The sequence below is a fragment of the Homo sapiens genome, chromosome 14 (genome assembly GCF_000001405.40).
Source record: "Homo sapiens chromosome 14, GRCh38.p14 Primary Assembly".
Lineage (NCBI taxonomy): Eukaryota > Metazoa > Chordata > Mammalia > Primates > Hominidae > Homo > Homo sapiens.
In genome coordinates this window covers 61112896-61124935 of record NC_000014.9, presented here as the reverse complement: position 1 = coordinate 61124935, position 12040 = coordinate 61112896, and positions in this window count along the sequence as shown.

The window sequence follows — 12040 nt, the reverse complement described above, 5'->3', positions numbered from 1 at the left end:
TGTAGCAGTGAGGATGACCAGAGATCACTCTCTTGGCCATCTTGGTTTTGGTGGGGTTTAGCTGGCTTCTTTACTACAACCTGTTTTATCAGCAGGGTCTTTATGGCAGGGTCTTTATGTGCTGACCTCCTATCTCATCCTGTGACTTAGAATGCCTTAACCATCTGGGAATGCAGCCCAGGAGGTCTCAGCCTCATTTTACCCAGCTCCTATTTAAGATGGAGTTCCTCTGGTTCAAACACCTCTGACACAATGACATAGAGAGAAATGAGTCTGGGTGGGTCCAGAAGTCCAGTTCCCTACTGAGCAGGGGAGAAGGCCAGTTTGCCCACCGCCAACCACATCTGCTGAGGACAAGCTAGGGGTATTTGCTGAGGGGTGCCTACCCAAGGGGCCCTTCCTGGTTATAGAGGTGGAATGAGAGCTACCCCAGGGAAAGTTGCAGGGCTTGGGGGAAGAATTTGCTTTGAGCACTGGAGCCAGTGGGAGCCAGGCTACGGAGAAGCACCGGAGGTCCTGGGAGGTTTATCAACTGCCCCAGGGCCCTGGAGTCCCCCAAGGCCAAAAGCTCCCTCACACCCTGGGCTCTCTGTGGCTGTGACTCTGACCAGATATTTTACTGACCTAAAATAGTCTCTTCCACAGACAATGTCAAGTTAGCAAACTGTTTAAAGAATAAAGTCACTCAACACTCTCATTTAGAGCTTCAGAGTGTGCAAATTGACATAACCTTTCTGGAGGACAATTTGGCAATTAGTATGGGACCTTAGAAATATTCACACTCCTCGAGCTAATAATTTCTGCTTTGTAAATTTCCCCAAAGCAAAGAATATCCAAAAATAGTGGAATGGAGAAATGAATGATGGTGCATCTTTTTGATGAAATCCAGTGCTGCTAAATATTTAATGATATGGGAAAGTGCTAAAAGTGTAACGCTCAATTTAAAAAGGCAGAATAAAGAATGTATGTAGAGTATGATCTCAAGATTTTTGTTATTGTAACAGTTGCTATAAGAACGGTCCTTATTTAAACAAAGTCCTTTATAAGCAACTTCCTTGCATTAGAAGGAAGACCATAGGGGAGGGGGGCAAAGAAACAGAAGAGATGCTTTGGGGGCCGCTGGTGGGGAGGGCTGGGGGAGGGGCATGGAACCAAGGGGGAAGCCAGGAGCCTGGAGGTGTGAGTCTGAGGCCTCCCAGGGTGAAGAAGTCACAGATACTCTGCCTGGTAGCTGCCTGGAGGACACAAAGATGCCTGGTGTTTTGGCTGCTACTGTGGTTTCAAACTAACTCCAACTCCACCCCCTCCTAAAATTTTCAGTGAAGTCCACCCCATCAATAATTGATCTGTGTGAGTGCAGATTTAGGGTAGAAACCCAGGGTAAGACGTACTCTCCATCTGTGTTCATGAAAAACGGAACAACACCAGGAAATTAGCTATAGAAATCCATGCTTGGGGGCAGGGGTGATCCTGAGGACTGAAGACCCCATGGAATTTCCAGAAGGCTTGGGGAGGACTTTAGACTTCTAGAGGGCATGGAACAGGGTTGAGCCTCTCCAACAGTGTGAGAGGCTGGGGAATCCTTACTGATATCCAACATGGGTATAAATGGGCATATAGGCATATACAGATACAGGGCTGGAGGAACAGTGCCAGTACCCCGTGGCACTCCCTGGCAGTGGGATTATGGTGATATTTATTTTCCTTTTTATATAGCTTAGAATTTCAAATTCTTGTAAAACAAACACCGATTTTATAATTTTTTTTTAAGAGTCAAAGTTTCACTCTGTTGCCCAGGCTGGAGTGCAGTGACACAATCATAGCTCACTGTAACCTTGGACTCTTGAGCTTAGGTGATCCTCCCACCTCAGCCTCCCAAGTAGATGGGACTACAGGTGTGTACCAGCATGCCTGGCTAATTTTTTTATTTAGCCATGTCGAGACAGGGTTTTGCCATGTTGCCCAGGCTGGTCTCTAACTCCTGGGCTCAAGGGAACCTCCCACCTTGGCCACCCAAAGCACTGGGATTACAGCCATGAGCCACCGTACCCAGCCAGATTTTATAATTTTTTAAAAACTAATAAATGTAGATACAAAGCACTGCCATTCCATGTTGCTTGTAGAGTCTGTTTCTGCCTCTGGGTTGGTGAGAAGACTGTGGGCCCAGATCCTGCCATGGACTCAGACTCTTCATGTAACTGAGGTCAGTGCTGGGATCCAGGGGCCCTGCCCACTCACTAACACACCAGAGATCACATGAGATCCCCAAGATGGAACTCAAAGACATATTGGACACCTTCCTGTCTGGGCTGCAGCCTGGAGCATGCTATGGGTCCCAGAACAGGGTCCATGAAGAGGAATGTATTTCCCTGCAAATTGAGGCACGGTTGCAGTTGCTGGAAGGACATAATCAACGATGGCATCCTGGTTTCTCTGCCTCCCTTTGAGCTTCTCTGTTTATGCACATCTCCTAAAGGCTTGCAAGTCAAATGCCATTTCTTGCTGGTTTTTGTCTTTGAGTATCTTTCCTCTCCTAAAATAGAGCAGAAGCCTACAATGCAGGGTTAGTTTTCTTTCCTCCCTTCTTTTGTTGAAGGGAAATTCTGCACATAATACATAGAGAAGAAAATACAATCAACCCATACGATCATTGTGCTTTTGGGTGGACAAGGCAAATATTTCTGTCTTCGATGACAATACATATTTGTAATATCACACTTGGAGCTTTTCTGCCGTTGCCTATGTGGGGATCTGAAAGTGTTTTCTACTCAGCCATTCATCTTCAAACCATCTTTCAGGAAAAAGACAGGAAATTGAGAAAAATTATTTGCAGGCTTATTTTTCTGAATGATGCCCTCAAACGTTTTTTGACTGTGGCCCAACTCAGGCTTGGCAGAGGTCCCCACAGCCATCTCCCTCTGCCTGCCCCCTCTTTCCAGAAGAAAAACAAAACTCAGTGATAATAAAGAATATTAGAGGAACAGACAAGAACCTCTTATTTACTTTATAAAAATATTGTAAACATTATATACATGACTTTATGCTATATTGTTCCTTATTACTCATTTTGCATAGTTTATTATAATTATTTAACATAAATATTTTTATGTTGTATTCTATTTTATAATGCAAAACAATATTTTAAAAGAAGTTTCGTAATGCTTAATGTTTCTTGGTAGGATTCAAGTAAATAGCCTTTGGTAGGGCTTAATAATGTTTACAGCATTGGGCATGGTTTGCACATAAGATCTTGGCATTTGAGATTTCGTAATCCCTGCTCAGCCCTTCTAAGGAAGGAAACCGCCTCTCATATTTTCTTTTGCCTATTTGCCTAATTTCTCCCTCAAAGAAAAGAAAAAGTAGGAGTTAAAGAAAAGGCAGAAGTGAAATTCAATAGTCAAACAACCCGGCACCACACCCCAGGCCTGGTAGTTAAAGATCAACCCCTGACCTAATCGCTTATGTTATATATAGATTCCAGACATTGTATGAGGAAACATTGTGTAACTCCCTGTTCGGTTCTGTTCTGTTCTGACCACCGGTGCAGACAGCCCCCGTCACGTAGTCCCCACTTGCACAATGTATCACGACCCTTTCATGTGGACCCCTTAGAGTTGTAAGCCCTTAAAAGGGACAGGAATCTTGACTTCAGGGAGCTTGGTTCTTGAGATATGAGTCTACCAATGCTCCCAGCTAATTAAAGCCTCTTCCTTCCTAAAACTGGTATCCGAGAGGTTTTGTCTGTGACTGGTCCTGCTACATTTCTTAGTTCACGCTACATTTCTTAGTTCCCTGACCGGGAAGTGAGGTGATTAACGGATGGTCAAGGCAGCCCCTTAGGCAGCTTAGGCCTGTCCTGTGGAGCATCCCTGTGGGGGACTCCAGCCCTGTGACACGGATCCTGAGAGCACTCCCAGTAGGCCATCGCCCAGGTGGAATGCTTTGCCAGAGCAGTGCGCGGCAGACCCCCATGGAGGATTAACACAGCGGCTGAACACTGGGAAGGAATCCGTGCTTGGAGTCCTGACATCTGGAACATGGTAAGACCGGTCTTGGAACTTGCCCACTCCATCTGAGTGGAAGCATGGCCTGATCACCCACGGTGTGCCGTTATCAGCACTTTGGTTTTGGTTTTGATTTTGACTGGATTTGAAATGTTTTGGTTTTGATTTCAGTTCTGACTTTTGGATTTGAACTGTTTTGGCTTTGATTTCGGTTCTGACTCGGCTCAAATTGCTTGATGAATGAGTAACTCCTTATCCGTCCTTTGGTTTTAGATTTAATTTTGATCTGGTGTGAATTGGTTGGTGAGTGAGTGACTTTTTGCCCCTTTTCCCTTCCCTCTTTGTGGTAAGAGTGTTGTTTTGTCTGCTGAGAGAGGAAAATGGGTAAAACACAGAATAAGCCTACTCCGTTAGGAACTGTGTTAAAGAATTTCAAGAAAGGATCCAATGGGGACTATGGAATTGCTATGACACCTGGAAAGCTTAAGGCTTTGTGTGAGATAGATTGGCCGGCATTAGAGGTGGGATGGCCATCAGAAGGAAGTCTAGACAAGTCCCTAGTTTCAAAGGTATGGCACAAAGTAACTGGTAAATCAGGACACCCAGATCAGTTTCCATACATAGATACTTGGTTGCAGTGAGTTTTAGACCCCCCACAGTGGTTGAGAGGACAGGCAGCAGCAGTGTTAGTGGCAAAGGGACAGATAGCCAAGAGGGGGATCTCGTTCCACCCGCTGAGAGAAGTCAGCTCCTAAGGTTCTGTCTGACCCAACATCACAGGATGCATGGCAGGCAGTGGCACCAGTGGTGCCCCCCCTTACCGAGAAGAGAGACTCCCCACTCCTGAGCCCACAGCACCTGAGCCTCCACAGGACACACACACCCCTAGACCACCCAGAGTAGACAAGAGAGGAAAGAGAGAGAGAGGCAAAGAGGCAAAGAGAGAGAAAAAGAGAGAGAGAACAAGAGACAGAGAGACAAAGAAGGAGTGAAAGACAGAGAGAGAAAGAGAGGCAGAGAGAGAGGAAGAGACAAAGACAACAGGAAAGTCAGAGAGAGAGACAGAAAGTCAAAGACAGAAAGAAAGAAAGAGATATACAAATAGTTAAAACAACAACAACAGTTTACCCTATTCGTTTAAAAGCCAAGGTAAATTTAGAAACTTTAATTGATAATTAAAGGTCTTCTCTGAGACCCTACAACACTCCAATACTACCTTGTTGTCAGTGTAAACAAGGGTGTAGCCCGAAAGCACTGAGGCCACTGACAATCCGTAGCCTTCCTGTAAAAATCCTTAATCCAGTACCCCTTGGATGGCCTAAATACATTCAATCTGTAGCGGCAACAGCTTTGCTAACAGAAGAAAGTAGAAAAATAACTTTTAGAGGAAACCTCATTGTGAGCACACCTCACCAGTTCAGAACTATCCTAAGTCAAAAAAAAAAAAAAAAAAAAAAATGGGTGGCTTACTAACTCAAAAATCTACAAGTATGGGGCTTTTCTGTTAGAAAAAGATGATTTAACATTAACCACTGATAATTCCCTTAACCCAGCATGTTTCCTAATAAGGGATCTCAATCTTAATTAATTACCAAAGGTCTGACTAGACCTAGGAGGAAGAACTCCCTTCAGGACTGGATGATAGATGGTTCCTCCCGGGTGACTGAGGGAAAAAGACACAATAGGTATTTAGTAATTGATAGGGAAACTCTTGTAAAAGCAGAGTTAGGAAATTTGCCTAATAATTGGTCTGCTCAAAGTGCCAGCTGTTTCCACCCAGCCAGGCCTTAAAGTACTTATAGAACCAGGAAGGAACCATCTATACCAATTCTAAGTTAATTTGGACTAAACAAGGGCTTATTAACAGCAAAGGATAATTGAAATCCCAAACTTACAAGGTTTTCAACAAAAGTAAAGTTTGCTAAAAGTTAACAGTGTAACATGTATTATCCTAACTTCTAATCTTACGGCCTTAGGCAGTCTAGTCCACAGACATGAAGAAAGTTCACTTTGGAAAAGAATGGTTATCATCTTTAGGGGAAAAAAAGGCGGGGGGAGGGGGGAGGAGAATTTATGTAAAAGAATGTTATATGGTAAATTATTTTCCTAAAATAACTGGTTATTTAAAGAAAGGGATGTTTGCAAGAAGTCAGAAAGTTGAGGCATGTCGAAGAATTGTCTGTGAAAGTCGTGAAAGAAAAAAATGTGTTATAAAAAGGAATTTATGCAAGAAATGTTGTATAATTTAAAAGTAATTAGGCCTCCTGAATGTAAAACTATTGAAGAAAGTTTATGTGCAAGGTGTATAAGGAAAGTAAAATATACTTTTAGTAAAAGGATTATAAGGAGACATAAGAATGTGGATTTTTACCTATATTAAAAGGTTAAAAACAAATTTTTGTTTTGAAGGTTTAAGCAAGTTTTAAAACATTAATCGTAACGAAAATTCTGTGTGTCAATATATTGGCTAAAGTTAAAGGGGTATCATCCAGTTTTTCTGTGAACTGGACATCAAAATAAAAACACGATGGGTTTTTCTTAAAGCACTGACCTGCTCTTTAACAAAAATTATAAAAGGTTAAAAAGAGTCTATAAAAATCTTACCTTATGGTCAGACATTAAAAATTGAATAAATATGTCTACAAAGTTTTATTAAAACTAAGTTTAACATTAATAACACTAATATAAAGGTGAAATTTAGCTTATCTGGTACAAAATCATACGGAAAGCATTGTCAAATATAAAATGGTGTTTGGCTTTCTTTGGTCTAAAAACTAATAAAAATAGGTGCTAAAGGAAATTTCTCAGTAAGAAGGCACCAAGGACTATAAAGTCCACTGCCGATGTCCCCACATTTAAAACAAAATGTCAATTTCTTATAAATTATATACTTGGTTTGTTTTCCACTTTCCTTTCCCTCAAAACTAAAAGGCTTTTAGCACATGTACCACCCCTAGAATTTCCAGTAAACCAGCACCAGCCTGAAGATCACATTCTCATCAAAAGGTGGAAAGAAGGAAAAATCGAGCCAGCCTGGGAAGGACCCTACCTTGTGCTGCTAACCACCGAGACTGCTGTTCCTACAGCAAAAAGGGATGGACTCATCACATCCGAGTCGAGAAAGCACCAACCCCTTCAGAGTCGTGGGCCATAGTCCCAGGGGAAAACCCTACCAAACTAAAGCTAAGAAAAATTTAACTCTTTCATCTATTGTATTACTCTTTTTTCTTTCCTTGCTCTATTGCTGACCATCTAGACATAACCAAGTCAATTTCACCTCAAACTATTGCATTTAATGCTTGTCTTGTTATACCCTGTGGGGACTTGCCAAGTCAAAGACAGCTCTCTACTTCAGAAAAGTACCTCTGTCCCTCCTGACTCTCCTCAGACTAGGCAATAGTAAATTAGGACCATTTAATCTGAGGAGATTTTGATAAAGACTCCAGTGTCAACCAGGAGTCTTGCCCCCCAGTGTAGAGCTTTCATGCCATAGTTGGTCCAATATTCTGTGGACCACTAAAGAGCAAGGATGGACTGCCCCAACTGGTTTTTGTAATTTCTTAAAACCATACATTCATTTCACTAGAGGATCACAGAAGTTAAAGACTTAAAACAAACTTTGACAATTAAGACAGGATACCAAGATGCAAATGCCTGGTTGGAATGGATCAAATATTCTGTCCGCATGTTAAACAAAAGCAATTGTTATGCTTGTGCACATGGCAGGCCAGAGGCCCAGACTGTCCCCTTTCCACTAAGGTGGTCCTCCAGTTGGCCAGGCATGGACTGCATGGTAGCTCTTTTCCAGGATTCTACAGCCTGGAGTAATAAGTCATGCCAAGCTCTCTCTGCTATATCCCGAAGTTCAGCACCTTGCGGGTCGCCCCTGAGGGCCATCCAGCTTCTGTCTCCCAACACTAAGTTCACTTCGTGTCTCTCATGACAGGGAGGAAACTTAGCACTCCTTGGAGACCTGAAGGGATGCAGTGAGCTTAAGAATTTTCCAGAGCTTACCAATAAGTCAACCCTTTGTTCATCCCCAAGTGGATGTGTGGTGGTATCATGGTGGACCTTTACTGGACACTCTGCCGAATAACTGGAGTGGCACTTGTGCTTTAGTCCAATTGGCTATCCCTTTCACCCTGGCATTTCATCAACCAGAGGGAGGGCAGGTAATAAAAGAAGGATGGATCCAGTTATCGGACAGAAGAATAGCCATGCCACAAGTGCTAGGAACCACAGTCGTACTGGCTGTGCATGAGACCACCCGCGTAGGCCAAGAGTCACTTGAAAAGTTGTTAGGCCAGTACTTCTACATCTCGTGTCTGTCAGCCCTTGCCAAAACAGTAGTGCAGCAGTGTGTCATCTCCTGGCAGCACAATGCTGGGCAAGGTCCAACCGTCCTGCCTGGTATACAGGCTTATGGAGCAGCCTCCTTTGAAGATCTCCAAGTAGACTTCACCGAGATACCCAAATGTGGAGATCTCATCCCTAGGTTTGGACTGCCTTTATGAATTGGCTCAGACAACGGGCCAGCGTTTGTCGCTGACTTGGTACAGAAGACAGCAAAGGCGATCGGGTGTAGATCAAGGATTAGAATGCAGCCCCCTTGCAACCACAGTGAAAAGGACCCCAGACTGTCGTCTTGACCACTCCCACAGCCGTGAAAGTAGAAGGAATCCCAGCCTGGATCCACTACAGCCGCATGAAACCCACAGCACCTGAGACCTGGGAGGCGAGACCAAGCCTGGACAATCCCTGCAAAGTGACTCTGAAGAAGACAACAAGCCCTGCTGCAGTCACACCCGGAAGCTGACTGGTCCATGCATGGCCGAAGCATGAGGAAACTCACCATGGGACTTATTTTCCTTATATTTTGGACTTGTACAGTAGGGACTTCAACTGACCTTCCGCAAACTAAGGACTGTTACCAGTGTATACATCAGGTCACTAAGTTAGGTCAAAAAGTTAAAACTGTCTTTTTGTTCTATAGTTATTATAAATGTGCTGGAGCTCTAAAAAGGACTTGTTTGTATAATGCCACCCAGTACAAGGTATGTAGCCCAGGAAGTGACCAGCCTGATGTGTGTTATAACCCATCTGAGCCCCCTATGGTCACAGTTTTAAAAATCAAATTAAGAACAGTCACCTGGTAAGGTCTAAACCATACTAAAAAGAATCCATTTAGTAAGTTTCCTAAGTTGCAAATTGTTTAGGCCCACCCAAAATCTCCCTGGGACTGGGCAGCTCCAGCTGGACTATACTGGATATGCGGGCATAGAGCCTACACTAAGCTACCTGACCAACGGGCAGGTAGTTGTGTCGTTAGGACCGTTAAGCCATCCTTTTTCCTACTGCCCATAAAAACAGGTGAGCTCCTAGGCTTCCCTGTCTACGCTTCCTGAGAAAAGAGCATAGCCATTGGCGACTGGAAAGATGATGAGCGGCCCCCTGAAAGAATCACACAGTACTATAGTCCTGCCACATGGGCACAAAACAGCTCATAGGGATACTGAACCCCCATCTACATGCTCAACCGGATTATATGGTTACAAGCTGTCTTAGAAATAATCACTAATGAAACGGGCAGAGCTTTGACTGTTTTAGCCCATCAAGAAACCCAAATGAGAAATGCCATCTATCAAAATAGATTAGCCTTACACTACTTGCTAGCAGCTGAAGAAGGGGTCTGTGGAAAATTTAACCTAACCAATTGCTGTCTGCATACAGACGACCAAGGGCAAGTAGTTGAAGACATAAAGATATATACAAAGCTGGCACATGTGCCCATGCAGGTGTGGCATGGGTTTGATCCTGAGTCCATGTTTGGAAAATGGTTTCCAGTGCTAGGAGGATTTAAAACTCTTATAATAGGAATTATAATAGTAATAGGAACCTGCTTGTTGCTTCCCTGTGTGCTGCCCTTGCTCCTTCAAGTAATGAAAAGTTTTGTTACTACCTTAGTCCATCAAAATACTTCAGCACAAGTGTACTACATGAATTACTATTGATCTGTCTTACAAGAAAACCTGGATAGTGAGGATGAAGATGAGAACTCCCACTAATAAGTGAGATTCTCAAAGTGGGGAATAAGGAAGGAGACCACCTCTCATATTGTCTTCTGCCTAATTTCTGCCTCAAAGAAAAGAAAAAGTAGGAGTTAAAGAAAAGGCAGAAGTGAAATTCAATAGTCAAACAACCTGGCAGCACATCCCAGGCCTGGTAGTTAAAGATCGACCCCTGACCTAATCGCTTATGTTATCTATAGATTCCAGACATTGTATGAGGAAGCATTGTGTAACTCCCTGTTTGGTTCAGTTCTGTTCTGTTCTGATCACTGGTGCGTGCAGCCCCCATCACATAGCCCCCTCTTGCACAATGTATCACGACCCTTTCACATGGACTCCTTAGAGTTGTAAGCCCTTAAAAGGGACAGGAATCTTGAGTTCAGGGAGCTTGGACCTTGAGACGCAAGTCTACCGATGCTCCCAGCTGACTAAAGCCTCTTCGTAAAACCAGTGTCTGACAGGTTTTGTCTGCGACCAGTGCTGCTACACTTCCACTGGCCTTGGACCATCACTCAGCAGCTGTGTTTTCCTGGGAGACAACAACCTCGACATTTCGAACATGGATTCTTTTTGCTTGGAAATGATGCCTAAGCATAATGGTGCTCACATTCTCAGAAAACAGACACCTATTCTAATCATGCATTTTCTCCTCAGGTCTTCTGAGGAAATGATCTCTTTCCAGACCCTCATTTGCTTTTTCCAATCAAGGATCTTGAGGTAGTGAGTAGGAGGCAGTGGAGAGACCTGAGGAATGAAGATAGAGAAGTTAGTTTACCAACTAAGATTCTTCCTCAAATGCCTAAGATCATCTCCCTGGGGTTTTACAGTTAGGATTTTGAGCACTGAGTCAGAAGAAAAGTGCTGGCAAACAGAGAAGTGGAGTTTAGGGGAAGACCAAGCCATGTTCACGACAAGGCCTGAGTAGAGGAAGAAAGCCAAGACACACCGAGGCAGCAGGTGCAGGCTCAGAAGGCCGCCTCACAGCAGGGAGACCTCCCGCACAATGAAGAGCACAGTCAGGGAAGGAGCAGCTGGCTTACTCACTGAGGGATTAAAATCGATCCCCACGGTCCAGAGACACAGAGAATTGCAGCAAATGGAACTGCTCAAGTGCTTCAATCCCCAAGGGACTGGCACTCTTCAGCTTCCTTACTTCTCCTTTTCTTCTAGAATCCAGTTTGGATGCAAGTTCCTCTTGGTTTCAGTGAAATCCTAGGCCTTTAAGGAAACAGTTTCAGTGAGGGGTCCCTAAGGCTTGCTGACTGTAAAATAAACAAAGCCCAGTGGTGAGGGACTCCTTCTTCCACACTTCTCTAAAATTTCAAGGCCCTTTAAGAACACTAGATTCTTTCATATACAACTTAAAACTCAAAGAAGCACTAACTGTCTTCACTTTTTTTTTTTTTAAGATGGAGTTTCACTCTTGTTGCCTAGGCTGGAGTGCAATGGCGCGATCTCAGCTCACTGAAACCTCTGCCTCCTAGGTTCAAGCAATTCTCCTGCCTCAGCCTCCCAAGTAACTGGGATTACAGGCACCTGCCACCATGCCTGGCTAATTTTTGTATTTTTAGTAGCGACGGGATTTCGCCATGTTAGCCAGGCTGGTCTCAAACTCCTGACCTCAGGTGATCTGCCTGCCTTGGCTTCCCAAAGTGCTAGGATTACAGGTATGAGCCACCTTGCCTGGCCTCCATCTTCAGTTTTACAGATGACAACATTGAGGTGCAGAGAGGTTAAGAAACATTTTTAAGGGTACCGAGGTGATAAATGGCAGAGGCAGGCCTGGAGTCCAGGTGATTCCAGAGCCTGGGCTCATACATCTGCAAGGGTGGATGCCCTGGGCTGGGGCATCGACCTCAGGTCTTGAATAGCCCTGGAGAAGTGAAAGAAAGGGCAACAGAGCCAGCTGCAGAGGGGCTGGAGGAATGGGAAGGGGAAAGCTGCCATAAAGGAGTGTGTTCAACCAGG